This window comes from Homo sapiens, chromosome 2, assembly GCF_000001405.40.
Source record: "Homo sapiens chromosome 2, GRCh38.p14 Primary Assembly".
NCBI classification, from domain to species: Eukaryota; Metazoa; Chordata; class Mammalia; order Primates; family Hominidae; genus Homo; species Homo sapiens.
In genome coordinates this window covers 202,504,817-202,525,009 of record NC_000002.12, presented here as the reverse complement: position 1 = coordinate 202,525,009, position 20,193 = coordinate 202,504,817, and the positions used below count along the sequence as shown (strand labels likewise).

At 40.5% G+C, this 20,193-nt stretch overlaps 1 protein-coding gene and 2 pseudogenes across 2 annotated transcripts in view; 1 reads left to right on the top strand and 2 right to left on the bottom strand.

The window, feature by feature from the left end:
- BMPR2 (bone morphogenetic protein receptor type 2) overlaps positions 1 to 20,193 on the bottom strand; it is a 191,423-nt gene that overhangs the window by 42,740 nt on the left and 128,490 nt on the right. For both annotated transcript variants that reach the window (NM_001204.7, XM_011511687.2), the window contains exons 4-7: positions 11,181 to 11,291; positions 10,031 to 10,122; positions 5,958 to 6,188; positions 4,809 to 4,923 (exon numbers count right to left, since the gene is read on the bottom strand). In NM_001204.7, the coding sequence (NP_001195.2) occupies positions 4,809 to 4,923; positions 5,958 to 6,188; positions 10,031 to 10,122; positions 11,181 to 11,291 (549 nt within the window). The remainder of the gene's footprint in view (positions 1 to 4,808; positions 4,924 to 5,957; positions 6,189 to 10,030; positions 10,123 to 11,180; positions 11,292 to 20,193) is intronic.
- On the bottom strand, positions 4,018 to 4,617 carry RPL13AP12 (ribosomal protein L13a pseudogene 12; annotated as a pseudogene).
- H3P8 (H3 histone pseudogene 8) lies at positions 19,335 to 20,032 on the top strand (annotated as a pseudogene).

The window sequence follows — 20,193 nt, the reverse complement described above, 5'->3', positions numbered from 1 at the left end:
AACATTTTTTTCTTTTATTTATTTACTTTTCTGAGATGGAGTTTCGCTCTTGTTGATTCTCCTGCCTCAGCCTCCCAAGCACCTGGGATTACAGGCACCTGCCACCATGCCTGGCTAATTTTTTTTTTTTGATATTTTTAGTAGAGATGGGGTTTCACCATGTTGGCCAGGCTGGTCTCGTACTCCTGACCTCAGGTGATCCACCTGCCTTGGCCTCCCAAAGTGTTGCGATTACAGGCGTGAGCCACCGCACCTAGCCTTATTTTTCAGACACAGTCTTGGTCTGCTGCCCAGGCTGGAGTGCAGTGGCGAGATCTTGGCTCACTGTAACCTCCGCCTCCCGGGCTCAAACAATCTTCTCACCTTACCCTCCTGAGATGCATGCTACTATGCCTGGCTATTGCAGAGACAGGGTTTCACCATGTTGGTCTTGAACTCTTGGGCTCTCTGCCCGTCTCAGCCTCCCAAAGTGTTGGGATTTCAGGTGTGAGCCATGGTACCTGGCCTCTTTTATTTTAAACTCAGGGGTACATGTGCAAGTTTGTTATCTGGGTTTATAGTATGATGCTGAGGTTTGAGGTACAAATGATCCTGTTATTCGTGTAATGAGCATAGTACCCAACAGGTAGTTGTTTTTTTTTTTTTTTTGAGACAGACTCTCGATCTGTCGCCCAGGCTGGAGTGCAGTGGCGCGATCTCGGCTCACTGCAAGCCCCGCGTACCGGGTTCATGGCATTCTCCTGCCTCAGCCTCGCGAGTAGCTGGGACTACAGGCGCCCACCACCACACCCGACTAATTTTTTGCATTTTTAGTAGAGACAGGGTTTCACTGTGTTAGCCAGGATGGTCTTGATCTCCTGACCTCGTGATCCGCCTGCCTCAGCCCCCCAAAGTGCTGGGATTACAGGCGTGAGCCACCGCGTCCGGCCCCAACAGTTAGTTTTTAGCCCTTGCCCCTCTCCCTCTCTCCCCACTCTAGTAGTCCCTAGTTTCTACTGCTGTCATCTTCATGTCCATGAGTACCCGATGTTTACGTCCCACTTATAAAGTGAGAAAATGTGGTATTTGGTTTTCTATTCCTACTTAGCATAACCTACTCCAGCTCCATCCATGTTGCTGCAAAGGATATGATTTCATTCATTTTTATGGCTGTGTAGTACTCGATGGTGTATGTGTAACACATTTTCTTTTTCTTTTTTCTTTTTGAGATGGAGTTTCACTCTTGCTGCCCAGGCTGGAGTGCAATGGCACGATCTTGGCTCACCGCAACTTCTGCCTCCCACGTTCAAGAGATTCTCCTGCCTCAGCCTCCCGAGTAGCTGGGATTACAGGCATGCACCACCACCCCCGGCTAATTTTGTATTTTTAGTAGAGATGGGGTTTCTCCATGTTGACTCAGGCTGGTCTTGAACTCCCGACCTCAGGTGATCCGCCCACCTCAGCCTCCCAAAGTGCTGGGATTACAGGCGTAATCCACCACGTCCGGCCATTTAACACATTTTTTATATCCAGTCCACCACTGACAGACAAGTAGGTTGATTCCGTATCTTTGCTATTGTGGATAGTGCTGTGAAAAACAGAAGACCTGTGTCTCTCTGGTAGAATTATTTGCTTTCTTTTGGATATATACCCAGTAATAGGATTGCTGGGTCAAATGGTATTTCTGTTTAAAGTTCTTTGAGGAATCTCCAAACTACTTTCCACAGTGGCTGAACTAATTTATACTCCCACCAATAATGTATAAGTGTTCCGCTTTCTCCAGTCTCAACAGCATCCGTTGTTTTTTGACTTTTCATTAACAGCCATTCTGACTGTTGTAAGATAGTATATCATTGTGGTTTTGATTTGCATTTCTCTGATGATTAGTGATATGGAGCATTTTTTCATATATTTGTTGGCTGCTTGTATGTCATCTTTTGGGAAGTGTCTATTCATGTCATTTGTCCACTTTTCAATGTGGCTATTTGTTTTTTGCTTGTTCAATTGTTTAAGTTCCTTATACATTCTGGATATTAGACCTTTGTTGGACGTGAAGTTTGCAAATATTTTCTCTCATTTGTAGGTTGTTTACTCCGTGGATAGTTTCTTTTGAAAAGAACATTTTCTAAGTATGCTCGCATGTATATCTTAGAGGAAGAATGTTCAGAGTATGAAAAGGAATTCATTTTTCTTTTTTTTTTTAGACGATGTCTCACTCTGTCACCCAGGCTGAAGTGCAGTGGCATGATCATAGCTCATTGCAATTAGAATTCCTAGGCTCAAGCTATCCTCCCACCTCAGCCTCCTGAGTAGGTGGGACCACAGGTGTGTGCCACCACCTCCAGCTGATTAAAACTTTTTTTGTAGAGATGGGGGTCTGACTATGTTGTCTAGGCTGGTTTTGAACCCTTGGGCTCAAGCAGTCCACCTGCCTCGGCCTCCCAAATTGTTCGGATTATAGATGTGAGTCACTGCACCCAACTCAGAAATTATTAATGGACAAGAATTTCTTTTTTTTTTTTTTGAGAGGGAGTCTCGCTCTGTCACCCAGGCTGGAGTGCAGTGGCGTGATCTCGGCTCATTGCAACCTCTGCCTCCCAGGTTCAAACGATTCTCCTGCCTCAGCCTCCTCAGTAGCTGGGAATACAGAAGCGTGCCACCATGCCTGGCTAATTTTTTGTATTTTTAGTAGAGACGGGGTTTCACCATGTTGGTCAGGCTGGTCTCAAACTCCTGACCTTGTGATCCGCCCACCTCGGCCTCCCAAAGTGCTGGGATTATAGGCGTGAGCCACCGTGCCCGGCCAAGAATTAAATTCTTAATGGTCCCTGTAAGTCTTGAAGTTCTTTTTCTTTCGTTTTTTTGTTTTTTTGAGACAGGGTCTCACTCTGTCACTCAGGCTGGAGTGCAGTGGGGTGAACACAGCTCACTACAGCCTAGACCTCCTGGACTCAAGCAATCCTCCCACCTCAGCCATCCAAGTAGCTCAGATTATGTGCGCGTGTCACCACATCTGGCTAACTTTTTTATATTTTGTAGAGAAAGGGTCCCACTTTGTTGCCCATGCTGGTCTCAAACTCCTGTGCTCAAGTGATCCTTGAGATCCACTTGGCCTTTCAAAGTGTTGGGATTACAGCCATGAGTCACCATGCCAGCCAAAGTTCTTTCTCTTATTCTTCCTGTTATATTTTTTTCTTTAAAATTAATTTATTTGTTTCTCATCACAAAGTACAGGGAAGAGAATGCAATGGCTGTAATCCCTTGGTTGCATATCTTCCTAGCCTACACATCCATAAATACCCTGTACAACACCAGGCTCATACTGTCCCCACAGGCATTTTCTCACATCCTAACAGCTGCAGAGTACAGTATATGACAAGGTAGGAAATACAAACAGATTCCCCATTCACAAGGTAGGGAAACTCTTCAATTAGTGTTCCAGTTCACATTTGCTTTTTTTTTTTTTCTGAGACAGTCTAGCTGTCAGCCAGGCTGGAATACAGTGGTGTGATTTCAGCTAACTAGAACCTTCACCTCCCAGGCTCAAACAATCCTCCCAGCTCAGCCTCCCAAGTAGCTGCGACTACAGGTGCATGCCACCACGTCCAGCTAATGTTTATATTTTTTGTAGAGACAGGGTTTCACCATGTTACCCAGGCTGGTCTCAAACTCCCGAGCTCAAGCAATCCACCTGCCTTGGTCTCCCAAAGTGTCAGAGTTACAGGCATGAGCCATCAATCACGCCCGGGCTGCCAATATTCCAACTGAAGTAGCAGGTTGTTTTTACTAATGATTTTATGAAACTCTCTTGCAAACAAGTACATCATAGACAAATTATGTCTGCACAACTTTTAGAGTTGTTTAAAGTAACCTAATAGAAAGACAGTGACTAAGATTCATTCCTTATCTCCAGCTTTGTAAGTCCCAGGCTGCCTAGAGCACCTGGACTGCTGCCCCTGGGTCCCCTACATCCCCATGGCAACAATGGAGGAAGAGCAGGCCAGGACAAGCATGAGGAATAAACAGTCTTTATTGGACTCAGACTAGGAGTCTGTGGGCCTTGAGGACCTTCGTGTATTTGTCAATGTTCTTCTCTATGTTCTTTTCAGCCTTTTCCTATAGCCTCATGAGCTGTTTTTCTTCTGGTAACAGATCTTCTGATAATAGACCTTCCTCTTCTCCCCCATGGTGGCTGTCATTGCCTGGTATTTCCAGTCAACCTTCTGAGCCCAGTGCCCCAGGTAGGCAAACTTTCTTCAAGGCTTCGGACGTACAACCTCGAGGGTGGCAGAAACCGCCATCTGCTTTTTCTTGTCATATGGCAGGGGGATTCTATCAAACACCTTGAGGTGATCTAGGGCAGCCTAGCCTTGCTTGGTCTTGTGGGGCAGCCTACCGCAGGTGGTCTGCCAAAAGATGTGGCTGGGGACCCATAAATGGTAGGGTCCTTGGGAAGGGTTGGTGCTTGTCCGCTTGCAGAGGAAGGCTAGATACTTTAACTTGTTTCTGTAGAAACTGCCAGAAATGTTGATGTCCTCACAGGACATGACCACTACTTTCTCTGCTGGGTCATGATAGCCTCCAGGTAGCCCAGGAGTTTTACTCAGCTATCAAGCACCAGGACTGCCCCTCTGCCATCTTGGCAGCTGCGTGGGAAAGCTCTTTCTGTTACATTTCAAATGCATTTCATGCTGAATCTTTCAAACAACTGACTAATAATAAATCTCCAATAATATAAATTATACTTTTACTTTGAAGATATAATTAAAATTTCCTGTTGTGAATTTTGAACCCACATGAGTGTCAATTTCATCTATTGACTATCTTACCTCCTCGTGGTAATTCTGTGTGAAGATAAGCCAGTCCTCTAGTAACAGAATGAGCAAGACGGCAAGAGCTTACCCAGTCACTTGTGTGGAGACTTAAATACTTGCATAAAGATCCCTATATAGAGGAAAAAATGCGAAAAAAAAAAAAGGTAGAATTAACTCACTTTAACATGAAGAGTAAATTAGCATCCTTATAAAGAATTTGCAAATAGGCTAGGATTCCATGAAGATCTAATGAACTACTACATTTCAGAATCTTGAAAGAGTTAGTATGACATTTCTGTGTGTAGAGAGGAGAGGAAGGGATGGAAAGGGGAATTTAAACATTATAAATTTTTATGTCTCTAATATTAAAAATTATGAATGATTATTTCCTTTTAAACAATTCTTTGATCAAATTAAGATAGAAAAGTGTATCATTCACCAGTATGAATACAAATTATATTGTTATGGTTAATAAGTAGAAAACAAAAGGATTTTGTAAATATATTCATTTATGTATTGGTGCCACTCAAAGTGCTTATCTACAAACTATTACCAGTTGCTGATGAGAAAAGAATGTTGCATCAGAATGAATGTCAATCAAAGTACTGCTTCTTTCATCAAAAAACTTGTTATCAAAAAATTAAATAAAGAAGAGAAAAACAGAAAGAAGGAGGAGACAGCGAAACAAACAGTATAATTAGTTGATTCACATTCTGGTGTGAGATCCTTATTTCATTGCAGACCATTAATAATCCAGTTTGTGAGTCAGCAATGCTCTATCTGTAATACAGTGGTCCTCTCTGAAGTCTGATTAACAACTAATATAAATGTCAGTTTATTTTTTTTTATTTTTTGAGATTGCGTCTTGCTCTGTCGCCCAGGCTGGAGTACGGCTGTACAATCTCGGCTCCCTGCAACCTCCGCCTACCGGGTTCAAGCAATTCTCATGCCTCAGCCTCCCAAGTAGCTGGAATTACAGATGTGTGCCATCATACCCGGCTAATTTTTGTATTTTTAGTAGAGACGGGAGTTTTGCCATGTTGGCGAGGCTGGTCCTGAACTCTTGGCCTCAAGTGATCCACCTGCCTTAGCCTCCAAAAGTGCTGGGATTACAGGCATAAGCCACCACACCTGGCCTCAGTTTATTTTCTATGAAGAACTTACATTGGGATAGTACTCCATCACAAGCAAATATTCCATGCGTCCATCTGCAGTGACTCTCTCATCTCCAACTATAAAGCGGGCAATGTTGTCATGTTCCATCAAAGGCACTCTGTAAATGTTCTTTTCGTTGATAAAATTCTGACGGTTTGCAAAGGAAAACACTTTTACAGCAACTGGACGCTCATCCAAGGAGCCTTTATATACTGCTCCATATCGACCTCGGCCAATCAGCTGCAAGTGTTTTAAAGAAAGCAAGGTATTAATATCACAATTGAACAATCAAATTTACTAAATAATAAAGTACAAATTTAAACAGAATGCTACAGCTCTCTGTTGCTTACAGTTTATTCCATTATCAAGAAATTAATAAATTCTGTTCTAGTATGGCTGATGAAGCTCCTACCAGACCCAGCCTGCCCATAGAGAACATTTATAAATGCTGGACAAAATTTAAAAAAAAGAAAGATCTAAAGGCAGATAGATCTTGAGAGGCATTAAAGCTTTGAGAAAAAAGTGGTATGGGGCAAGCTACCCATTTTTATGACTTTTATCCTGAGGGCAGGCTGAAATCAGCACTGTGCAGTGGAACTAAAATTGCTAAAGAAAACCATTCTAGGCTGGGTGTGGTGGCTCATGCCTGTAATCTCAGCACTTTGGGAGGCTGAGGTGGGCAGATCACTTGAGGTCAGGAGTTCGAGACCAGCCTGGCCAAAGTGGTGAAACCCTGTCTCTACTAAAAATACAAAAATTAGCCGGGTATCATGGCACACGCCTGTAATCCTAGCTACTCAGGAGGCTGAGGCAGGAGAATCACTTGAACCCAGGAAACGGAGGTTGCAGTGAGCTGAGACCGCGCCACTGCACTCCAGCCTGGGCGAAAGAGCAAGACTGTCTCAATTAAAAAAAAAAAAAAAAAAAAAAAAAAGAGGCCAGGCGCGGTGGCTCACGCCTGTAATCCCAGCCCTTTGGGAGGCTGAGGTGGGTGGATCATGAGGTCAGGAGATCGAGACCATCCTGGCTAACACGGTAAAACCCCATCTCTACTAAAAAAATACAAAAAAAAAAAAAAAAAAAAAGTCAGGCGTGGTGGTGGGCGCCTGTAGTCCCACTTACTCAGGAGGCTGAGGCAGGAGAATGGCGTGAACCTGGGAGGCAGAGCTTGCAGTGAGCCGAGGTCGCGCCACTGCACTCCAGACTGGGTGACCGAGTGAGACTCCGTCTCAAAAAAAAAAAAAAGAAAAAAGAAGAACAGAAAATTGTTCTGGCCTTGGGAAACTCAGGACATATTTTGGACAGCCACAGTTGCTAGAAAATGAGGGGAGAACCCTAGAAAGGAGAAATTCAGAGAGAGGAAAGCCCAGTGAATATACAAGAGAGTTTCCAGCTAAAGATAAAATAACTGAGGCCGGGCGTGGTGGCTCACGCCTGTAATCCCAGCACTTTGGGAGGCTGAGGCGGGTGGATCACGAGGTCAGGAGTTTGAGACCAGCCTGGCCAACACAGTAAAACCCCATCTCTACTAGAAATACAAAAATTAGCTGGGCGTGGTGGCATGCGCCTGTAGTCACTTTTGTGGAGACTTAAATACTTGCATAAAGATCCCTACATAGAGGCTGAGGCTGGAGAATCACTTGAAACCGGGAGGCAGAGGTTGCGGTGACCCCAGACCATGCCTTGCACTCCAGCCTGGATGACAGAGTAAAAAAAAAAAAAAAAAGATAAAATAACTGAACTGAGATTTGAGCTTCTGCCCCAAACAGATTTGTGGTATGTGTTCAACCAAGTTTATTGCTTACTAAAACAACAAAAAAAAATCTTTTTTTTTTTTTTTAATTGAGATAGTCTTGCTCTTTCACTCAGGCTGGAGTGCAGTGGCACGGTCTCAGCTCACTGCAACCTCCGTTTCCCGGGTTCAAGTGATTCTCCTGCCTCAGCCTCCTGAGTAGCTAGGATTACAGGCGCGTGCCATGATACCCAGCTAATTTTTGAGTTCAGTGTTCCACAATACAATATTCACAATATCCAGAATACAAAAAAATTACTCAACACCCAAAGAACCAGCAAAATGTAACCCATTCTCGTTATTTTTGGCTTCTGGGGATTGCTTTTACTTTTTATTAAAACAGGTTGGGGATTTACCATCATTTATTTAAGGATATATGTTGTGTTTCATACACTGTTTCCAGATCAAAATTATACAAAGTGTCCTTTAAAAAGGTTATATCAATATATAGTTAATTCAGCAATGTTTGGAAGTGTTTCTATCACTTAATCATGGCTAAAATTCCATGGGTTAACTAGTATTTCTTTCAGCCTTGTAAATTGGACATCTTACTGTACATTTCTTAGCCACACTTACTTCTTTTGTGAATTGGCAGTTAATACCTTTTGTCCTTTTTTTTTTGAGACAGGGTCTCTGTCACCTAGGCTAACCACAACCTCTACCTCTTGGGCTCAAGTGATCCTTCAACCTCAGCCTCCCGAGTAGCTGGGACTACAGGCATGTGCCACCACACCCAGCTAATTTTTGTATTTTTTACAAAATAAATGGGGTTTCACCATGTTGCCCATGACTTGTCTTGAACTCCTGGGCTCAAGCAATCCACCCACTTTGGCCTCCCAAAAGAGCTGGGATTACAGGTGTGAGTCACAGCACTCAGCCTTTTTGTCCATTTGCTATAGAATGTTTCTTTCATCTTGATTTATATCAGTTCTTTATCAAGTTTTCCCTTATATGTTGAAATGTTGAAATTTATTTTTCAAATTTGGCTTTTATCTTTGTTTATGGTATGTCTCTCCCAAAACAGAAAGTTCTTACAATTTTTTATATAGTCAAATCTATCACATCTATTATTTAATAGTCTCTGGTTTGGGGACCATAGTTTTCAAGTCATTCTTAATAAATATAAAAACACTCATCATGGTAACACTTTTAATGTAGCTTCTGAGATATCACCAAATGAAACTTAAATTCTATATAAAAGAGCCTTATGTATCTATAAAAATATGTAATATATGCAGACAAGGAGTATTTATTTGTTGTCTATTATGGATCCCTTGTGGCACACTCTTCTCAAACTTTCATGTCTTTATTCTCATACCCTGTACAAATCTCTAATCAAAGGTCAACCTCTTTCTAAATATATTTTCTTTTTCTTTTTTATTTTTTGAGACGGATTCCTGCTCTGTCACCTAGAGTGCAGTGGCGTGATCTTGGCTCATTGCAACCTCCACCTTCTGGGTTCAAGCAATTCGCTAGCCTCAGCCTCCCAAGCAGCTGGGACTACAGGCGGGCGCCACCACTCCCAGTTAATTTTTGTATTTTAGTAGAGATAGGGTTTCACCATGTTGGCCAGGCTGGTCTTGAACTCCTGACCTCAAGTGATCCCCCTGCCTCAGCCTCCCAAAGTGATAGGATTACAGGCGTGAGCCACTGCACCTGGCCATATTTTCTTTTTCTTTCTTTCTTTTTTTTTTTTTTGTGGCAGAGTTTCGCTCTTGTTGCCCAGGCTAGAGTGCAATGGTGCGATCTCGGCTCACCGCAACCTCTGCCTCCCGGGTTCAAGCAATTCTCCTGCCTCAGCCTCCTGAGTAGCTGGGATTACAGGCATGAACCACCATGCCTGGCTAATTTTGTATTTTTAGCAGAGACAGGGTTTCTTCATGTTGGTCAGGCTGGTCTTGAACTCCTGATCTCAGGTGATCCACCAGCTTCAACCTCCCAAAGTACTGGGATTACAGGCATGAGCCACTGCGCCTGGCCCATATTTTCTTTAATAACCCCCTTTTCATCACTTTCTTATCCACTGTACTTTTCTTCATAGCACTTACTACTACTTGCAATTATATTATACATTCCTGTACCTGTCTGTAGACTCCCCAATTCAAATAGAAGCCCCAGGAGACATTGTTCACCTATGTTCCTAGTGCCTAGAATAGGCCTTGACAAAAAATTGTAATTTAGTAAATAGGGTTAAATAAATGAATGAATGTCTTAATGATTGAATGAAGTCACTGTTCCAGGTCTAGTATCACAGTAGAAACAACAGTCCATAATCTAACGGCAAACTTACCTCCAACAGTTTCAGATTATCTAGATCAAGAGAGGGTTCGGATGCTGCTGCCTCCATCATGTTCATACTGTGAAGACCTTGTTTACGGTCTCCTATAAGAACAGGAAACAGGTTACTAATATATGGTTTTCTTAAAATGAATATCTTTTTACACTTTTTATAATATTACACTTAAAAAGAAGAGCTGCAGAAAGATTAGCAGCAAGATTTATGCCTAATGTCAATAGGAGTAAAGCTATTTACTAAACTAGGTAATACCTATAAATTAAGATGAATGCAGAATAGCATGAAAGCCAAATTCTGGGAGACACTCCCATGATGACTTACTTTAAAAGTTTAAAACCCTAAGCAATATTATAAAAACTTTAAAGAAGATTGTATAGAAGTTATTCAAATGAATCAATGAACGCTGATTTCCTAAACAGTCCATCAAACCTAAAGTATATTAGAACCAACTTGACATTTGATGATACTGAGGAATTACTGTTATTTTTTCAGATGTGAAAATGGTATTATGGATATGTATTCTTAAAGCTCTTGTATTGGCCGGACGCAGTGGCTCACGCCTGTAATCCCAGCACTTTGGGAGGCCAAGGCGGGCGGATCACGAGGTCAGGAGATCGAGACCATCCTGGCTAACACGGTGAAACCCCGTCTCTACTAAAAATACAAAAAATTAGCCGGGCGAGGAGGTGGGCACCTGTAGTCCCAGCTACTCAGGAGGCTGAGGCAGGAGAATGGCGTGAACCCTGGGGGGCGGAGCCTGCAGTGAGCCGAGATCGCGCCACTGCACTCCAACCTGGGCGACAGCGAGACTCCGTCTCAAAAATAAAATAAAATAAAATAAAATAAATTTTAAAAAAAGCTCTTGTATTGTAGAGATAATATTTATAGATATATAATATCTAATTAAATATTTACAGATATATGATATCTGTGATTTGCTTCAAAATAATCCAGTGGCATGGAAAGGGGTAGTGACTGATAATTTAAATGAAACAATACTGTCCATACGTGATACTATTGAGGCTGGGTGTATTTTGCATAACTTTGAGACTATTTTTTTTAACATACGGAATTTAAAAGGAGCAAATAAATTGATTAAATTGCATGTTTAATAAACAATAGGACAAAAAATGGTAATTTTTACCTGTCAACATTCTGTATCCAAAGCATAAGGCAACTATCAAAACAGCTAATACAGAGACTGATGCCAAAGCAATGATTATTGTCTCATCTCGGTTAAATGAATGAGGTGGACCTAAAAGAAAACAAATTTTGAAATGTCATTTTTTTTTAAAAAAGTATTTTGTTAAATACTGACAGACTGCCCTTTAGAAAGGCTGTACCCATGTATAATCAAATTAGTAATGTTTTTGCATCAAAGGAAATGAAAGAAAAAATTAGTAATAAATGTGATAATTACAAATTATATTTTTTAATCATACAGACTATTCTGTATAGATTTGGAACACTAAAACACCAAGTAGATGTGCTCCTAATTATTAAAACATCAACAATACCATGAAACAGATTAGACAGGATAGTATAATATCAAGAGTCTTAGAATCTAACAGTTTTAGAATCACATTTGGTTTTAAATCCTCAATTTCCTCATTTATAAAAATAGTACTCTGTATTTCCCAAGTTAGCTGTAAGATTTAGATGGTAGTCTAAGTACTTAACACAACGTCAAGAATATATTATCTGGCTGGGCACAGTGGCTCATGCCTATAATCCCAACACTTTGGGAGGCTGCTGCAGGAGGATCACTTGAGGCCACAAGGTCAAGGCCAGCCTGGACAACATAGCAAAATGCCAGACATTAAAACAAATTAAAAAAAAAAATTAGTCAGGCATGGTGGCATGCACCTGTAGTCCCAGCTACTCAGGGGGCTATGGCAGGAGGATTGCTTGGGCCCAGGAGTTTGAGGCTGCAGTGAGCCATGATTGTATCACTGTACTCCAGCTTGGGTGATGAAGTGAGACTCTGTTTCTTTAAAAAAAAAAAAAAAATTAAAGTTTTTTTTTAAAAAAGCATATATTATCTACGCAATAAATGGTAGTTACACTTATCAATATTGGTATTTTTATTAATGAAAATAGCATGGCTTTGGAGGCAGTTAAATCTGAATAGGACTTGAAGCTCACTTCTTCCACTTAACATATGACCTTAGGAAAGTTTCTTCTCCTATCTGAGCCCAAGTTTACTCACTTGCAGAATGGAATGGGAACACACATAGGTAAATCACAGGGCTATCACAAACATGTAAACATTTTATGTGTTAAGTTCCATTCTGTGGGTCAGATCGCATCTAGAGCAAATACCCTTTAGGATGGATGGCCACAAACTAGAGCATATCCAAAAGAGAGCAAGTACAACTATGAAGGTTTGAGACCTCTGAACTGTGATGGGTAGAAAGAACTGAAAGCATCTGATGAGGAAAAAAAAGAAAACTTGGGAGGATATGATAGCTGTCTTCACATCAAATAACCAGTTCCAATCAGTGTATCTTCAAGGATAAGAGCCTTTAGTTGAGCATACAGAAAAGCATGGCTTATAAACAGACCTGTCTAAAACAGAATGAGTTGCCCTATGAAAGAGCTGTTCATTGTTTAACTAGATGTAGTTATGCAATGTTTGGTAATACTGATCAGAAGCTGCGCTTGATGACTGCCAGCATCTTTATTCATTCTTTATATTCAATCAAAATCAAGCATATTATACTCAAATTAGAAGCTTCTATGGCAAAGTAGGATGCCTCTACGGCAAAGAGTTCCTCTAATGGGCATTCCTGTTTTAATGAATTTATTTGTCTCAATCAAATTAAGTAGAAGTTGCTTATTAAAATGTCTAAACTATATTTCTATAGAAGGATATGTTGAAACAACACTGAAATACTCTTAATTTGCAGACCATTTATTATATTTTCTTTTTTCTTTCTTTCTTTTTTTTTTTTTAAGAGAGTCTTGCTCTGTCGCCCAGGCTGGAGCTCAGTGGTGCAATCTCAGCTCACTGCAAACTCCACATCCCAGACTCAAGCAATTCTTGTGCCTCAGCCTCCTGAGTTGCTGGGATTATAGGTTTGTAGCACCACACCTGGATAATTTTTTGTATTTTTAGTAGAGATGGGGTTTCACCATGTTAACCAGATCGGTCTTGAACTCCTGGCCTCAAGTTGATGTGCCCACTTTGGCCTCCCAAAGTGCTGGGATTACAGGTGTGAGTCACTGTGCCCAGCCCATTTTTCAGATATTAATAGATTTTAACACATTGATCATTGTGCCTCCTTTTAACATACAGAGTAAGTTACAGGCAGAAAAGCTACATATAAAACTCATTTTACCACAGTGAGATATTATTTCACATACATTGGCATGGCTACAATTAAAAAAAAAGAAAATAAAAAGCGCTGGCAAGGATGTGGATAAATTATAACTCTTGTACATTGCAAGTGGGATATGAAATGGTAAGTATACAGTAGAAAACAGTTTGTGAGTTCCTCAAAAAGTTAAACATGGAATTACCATAAGACCCAGCAATTCCAATCCTAGGCATATATCAGAAAGAACCAAAAACAAGTGTTCAAACAAAAACTTCTACATGCATGTTCACAGCATCACTATTTACAACACCCGAAAGTGGAAACAACACAAATGTTCATGAACTGATGAATGGATAAACAAAATGTGGTATATTCCTACAAAGGATTTACAAAAGGTTGAATATTCTATGATTCCATTGAAATGAAATACTCAGAATAGGCCAAATTCATAGACAGAAAGCAGGTTAGTAGTTGCCAGGGACTGGGAGAGGAAGAAATAGGGAGTGACTGCTTATTAGATACAGGGTTTCCCTTGTGGGGTGATGAAAATGTTTTGGAACTAGACAGAGGTAATAGTTGCACAACACTATGAATGTGTTGAGTGGTACATTTTAATATGACTAATTCTAAGTTATGTGAATTTTACTTCAATCAAAAAAAAAAAAAAAAAACTAAAGCCAGGTGCGGTGGCTCACTCCTGTCATCCCAACACGTTGGGAGGCTGAGGCAGACGGATCACAAGGTCAGGGGTTTGAGACCAGCCTGACCAACATGGTGAAACCACAGCTCTACTAAAAAGACAAAAATTAGCTGGGCATGGTGGCGCTTGCCTGTAATCCCAGCTACTCAGGAGGCTCAGGCAGGAGAATCACTTGAACCCAGGAGGCAGAGATTGTAGTGAGCCAAGATCATGCCATTGCACTCCAGCCTGGGTGAGAAAGCAAGACTCCGTCTCAAAAGCAAACAAACAAATAAACAAAAAAAAACAAAAAAAACCTCATTTTAGAATTTGCTAAACCTAAAAGATAAACTATTTTCAATACATACACATACACACACACAAAACTAAATAATTTATAGATTCATGACTATACAAGGATATTTTATGTGCCTATAGTTTTTCCTTTCCAGAAAGTCATATAGTTGGAATGATACAATATACAGACTTTTCAGACTGCCTTCTTTCACTTAGCAATATGTACTTTAGGTTCCTCCATGTCTTTTTGTGGCTTAGCAGTTCATTTCCTTTTATCACTGAATATTATCCATGTCACAGATGTACGATCTCAGCTCACTGCAACCTCCGCCACCTGGGTTCAAGTGATTTTTCTGCCTCAGACTCCTAAGTAGCGGGATTACAGGCACGCGCCACCACACCCAGCTAATTTTTGTATTTTTTAGTACAGACAGGGTTTCACCATGTTGGTCAGGCTGGTCTCGAACTCCTGACCTCGTGATCTGCCCACCTTGGCCTCCCAAAGTGCTGGGATTATAGGCATAAGCCACCGCGCCCAGCCAAAAACTGGTATTTCTTTAAATATTTGTTACAATAAAAAAATTCGTAGTCTAACGTGAAACAAAGTTTTGCCACATCCAAATGAGAAACACTGAATATTTAAATGTGTTCTTACATTCTTGTGTAATTCAAGTAAATATGAGTTAATAAAGATTATCTTGTCTTCTGTATAAAAAATAAAATTAAATATTAAATGTAATATTAATATGGCATTACAGATAAAACTGTCTCTGGAAATGAGTTAAGATATCCAATGTTATAATTCCCAAAAGAACTGAACCATATTACTTATTTGAAAAATGTATTTTGAATTCAACTAGGAATGAGAAGTGATAAGGAATCTAATTTTATTTTTTAAAAATCTAATTTTTAATTCTTAAATATGTGGACATGTTTAAATTTCAGTATTGAAAATTTAGATTAATGTTATTTAAAGGACATTACCAATTAAATAAAATATTAAAATTTTAATGTAACAAAGGTTAGATTTTGGAAAAACCTGAAAAACCAAAAGTTGTACATAAAAAGCACAGAATTAGTACATTTGAAAATTTAATAATAAAGATTTTTCCACTAAGATTTAGCTTTCTAGGCTTTTTTTTGCTTTTACTAAATTATGAGAACATTGCATATAGCTAACTAATGTGTATTTTATCAAGCTTTTATTACAAAATAGAAATGACAATTTTCCTAGTCTTAGTTGTTGGAAAGTGATTTTAGCATTACCCAAATTTCTGGAAATTGGATAAATTTATATAATACTAATATAAATAGTAAGGTTTCTAGAAATGTTTCCATTTGCAAAATTGTTTTTGTTACTAATATAAGCAACAAAAGCTTTTTATAGCCTATGAAGAAAAGCAGTATCTTGGAAACACTAAAAATGATTAACTATATACATGGTACTTAATTTTTTTTTATTCAAAATAAGAGATACTAAAAAGTATGCTGCTTAAACTACGACCAACTATGACTTATCCCCTAGAATGTTATGCTTTACTTCTTGATAAGCTCCTTTAGACTTATTTGGACAGAGATTATTAAAATCACTCTCATACAGCCTGTAAAAAGAAAAACAGATGCAAAATAAATTGGTGTAGGTATTCCTAAAACTTTTTCATATTTAGAGTTAGATTCTTCTGAATATCTTTTCAAATTTGTCAACTGTGTCCTATTTTTCCATACATTTCTACCTTATGTGTCATTAAAAACATCACTGAGATCATAACCCAACATTTCTTTAAAACATTCTTTTGACTTTTGTCTCTGGAATTTTCTTTCCATCCACTAACACGACACTGAAAATTTTAATGCAGATGCTTTCTTGATCATGCCAGAAAGTGCCAATGGAAGGTTGCTTGTTCTAGTTTTAATCTTTTTATTATAAAAAACTTACTACTATATACAGAAGTGGAGTGTACATACAAATTCCAAATGCCCATCACTAAGCGTTAGCAACCATCAACATTTTGTTATCCAATGAAACATTTTCAAACAATACAACTCATCTGACTTCTCATATGGTTTGTTGACAGAAACACTGAAGGGTTGCTGCTGAGTGGACATTCTGCCAGAGTTAACAATCAAGTTCACATTTACATAGGTGACAACTCCCATATTTCATCAATTTTAATACATACATTGATCACACCTTAAAATCTCCTACAGTGGGATATATCATATTTGTGGCATTGTAAAATTACTTGATGGTATTTCTTTTTCTTGGTGATAAGGAAATAATAGACTCAGCTGGGTGCAGTGGCTCACGCCTGTAATCCCAGCACTTTGGGAGACCCAGGCGGGTGGATCACGAGGTCAGGAGTTTGAGACTAGCCTGACCAACATGGTGAAACCCCATCTCTACTAAAAATACAAAAATTAGCCAGGTGTGGTGGTGCGTGCCTGTAATCCCAGCTATTCAGGAGGCTGAGGCAGAAGAATCGCTTGAACCTAGGAGGCGAAGGTTGCAGTAAGCCAAGATCACACCACTGCACTCCAGCCTGGGTGACAGACTGAGACTCAAAAATAATAATAATAATAATAATAATAATAATAATAATAATAATAGCCTCAAATGACAGCTTTTTAGATAAGATAAAATGACTTATCATATCACATATGTTAAAATGTGTAAAAGGGGACAGGCACAGTGGCTCACACCTATAATCCCAGCACTTTGGGAGGCTGAGGCGGGTGGATCACCTGAGGTCAGGAGCTCGAGACCAGCCTAGCCAACATGGTAAAACCCTGTCTCTACTAAAAATACAAAAATTAGCCGGGCATGGTGGCACATGCCTGTAATCCCAGCTACTCATGAGGCTGAGGCAGGAGAATCGCTTGAACCCGGGAGGCAGAGGCTGCAGTGAGCCGAGATGGCGCCATTGCACTCCAGCATGGGCAACAAGAGTGAAACTCCATCTCAGGAAAAAAAAAAAAAAGATGAAAAAAGGCCAGGCAACAGTAGTTCATGCCTGTGATCTCAGCATTTTGGGAGGCTAAGCTGGGAGAACCGCTTTAGGCCAGGAGCTTGAGATCAGCCTGGGTGATAGAGCAAGACTTTGTCTCTACAAAAAATAAAAAATTAGCTGGGTGTGGTAGTGCATGCCTATAGTCCCAGTTACTTGGGAGGCTGAGGCAGGAGGACTGCTCATGCCCAGCAGTTCGAGGATGCAGTGAGCCATAATTGTGTTACCACACTCCAGTCTGGGTGACAGAGCAAGATGCTGTCTCGACCAATGTGAAAAAAAGTGACTCCCACTTCTGCTTAGAGTATACAAAGATGCAAAGAATTTTATTCCCATCTTAGTAACAAGCCAAAACACTTCCCTGATAACAAGTCAGAAAACCTAAAAATCATAACCTTTTCTTTAAAAATAAGATCTAAGGACAAAAGGAAACTAAATGGATTTAAAAGTAGAATATGAAAAGACTCTTCCAAGAGTGAAGAGACCCAAGGCTGCTCTTATCCTAGGTAAAGCAGTGAGTGGAGGAGGACACCACTGTACATGTGAGGAGGAAGAAACAGCTGAACATTTAATGAATTCCTTTTTTTTTTTTTTTTTTTTAAGGCAGAGTCTCACTCTCTTGCACACACTGGAGTCCAATGGCACGATCTCGGGTCACTACAACCTTCGCCTCCCAGGCTCTAGCAATTCTCCTGCCTCAGCCTCCCGAGTAGCTGGGATTACAGGTGCACGCCACTATGCCCGGCTAATTTTTTTGCTGTTATTGTTTTTTGAGACAGAGTTTCGCTCTTGTCACCCAGGCTGGAGAGCAGTGGCGCGATCTCAGCTCACTGCAACCTCTGCCTTCTGGGTTCAAGCGATTCTCCTGCCTCAGCCTCCCAAGTAGCTGGGATTACAGGCACATGCCACCACGCCCAACTAATTTTTTGTATTTTTAGTAGAGACAGGGTTTCACCATGTTGGTCAGGCTGGTCTCAAACTCCTGACCTCGTAATCCACCCGCCTCGGCCTCCCAAACTGCTGGGATTACAGGTGTGAGCCACCGCACCCGGCCTATGGACAGAATATGTGCCCTGCAAATTCGTATGTTGAAGCCTAAATCCCCAACGTGACAGTATATGGAGGTAGAACCTTTGGAAGGTAATTATATAATGAGGGTAGAGCCCTCATGAATGGGTTTGGGCCCTTATAAAAAAACAAAACAAAACAAAACAAAAGGCCAGGCATGGTGGCTCATGTCTGTAAAGTGGAGGCCAAGGTGGGTGGATCACTTGAGGATTTGAGGTAAGGAGTTTGAGACCAGGCTGGCCAACATGGCGAAACCCTGTCTCTACTAAAAATACAAAAAATTAGCTGGGCTTGGTGGTGTGTGCCTGTAATCCCAGCTACTTGGGAGGCTGAGGCAGGAGAATCACTTGAACCCAAGAAGCGGAGGTTGCAGTGAGCTGATATCACACCACTGCACTCCAGCCTGGGTGAGTGAGACTCTGTCTCAAAAAAAAAATTAATTAATTAAAAATTAAAAAAGAGGAGACACAGGATCTATCTTTCTGTTCTCTGCCATGTGAGAACATTGGCATGTGAGTTACACATAACATGTAAGTTACAATGAGAAGACAACCATCTGCAGGCACTATTAAGGACACGGACTTCCCAGACTCTAGAACTAAGTACCCAGTCCACACTACTTTGACTAAGACACCTAGGTAGGAAAATTTGTCCTAAGGCATTACATCAAATATTAGCAACCATGACGAACAGTGATTTAACTTCAAAATTTAACTATAATTTAACATTATCATTAACAACCAGTTGTTAGGAAATAAGTAGTCTATTATTGATAATATTACACTCCCAAAATATTTCAGGTAACAGTGGTAAAGTAGTTTAGTGAAAAGAGCTCATAAGTTTTAGTCCCACTTTAGCCACTGTGGACAAATTATATAATTTTTCTAGGCTCTTACTTCTTTATCCATAAAATAAAGTGGTTATAGAGTGCCAGCACCACCTCTAGCTTGCCAAGCTCCAGCCAAAGGAGGAGAGTAAGTAAGGAGGTCTCTATACCATGGCTCATAAAAGGCACAACAATGTCCATAAATCAACTGGAAGTAAAGCATCCAGTAAGCAAGTGGTTACAAAAGTTGCTCATAAGAGACCAAGCACAGTGCTCACACCTGTAATCCCAGCTACTCAGGAGGCTGAGTTGGGAGGGTTGCTTGAGCTCAGGAGTTGCAGGCTGCAGTGAACTATGATTGCGCCACTACACTGCGGCCTAGAAGACAGAGTAAAATCCTGTTTCCAAAATTTATTAAAAAAAAAAAAAAAAAAAAAGCTGCTCCTAAGAGAGTGTCCTCTACAGGATAGGTGAAGAAACCTCAGAATTACAGACCTATTTGCGAGGCACTCTGTAATAAGTCCTAATCAGAAGTCCCCTGAACTTCTGATTGGCAAATTTTCTTCCAGTGTCTGAGGTGAGAAATTGTTTGGGACTTCAAAATAGATTGGCACATCTAGAGTACAGCTATTGGTGTTTTGAAAATAGCTATCTCTTTGGTTCAGTAGGCCTATCTGGTTGGCCTTTTTGAAGACATTAACCTGTATGTTATCCATGCCAAACGTGTAACAATCATGCCAAAAGATATCCAACTAGCACAATGCATTTGTAGAAAGCATCCTTAAGAATCTACTATGATGGGTCAGGCATGGTGGCTCACGCCTGTAATCCCAGCACTTTGGGAGGCCAAGGCGGGTGGATCATGATGTCAGGAGTGCAAGACCAGCCTGGCCAAGATGGTGAAACTCCGTCTCTACTAAAAATACAAAAAATTAGCCAGGCACGGGGGCAGGCACCTGTAA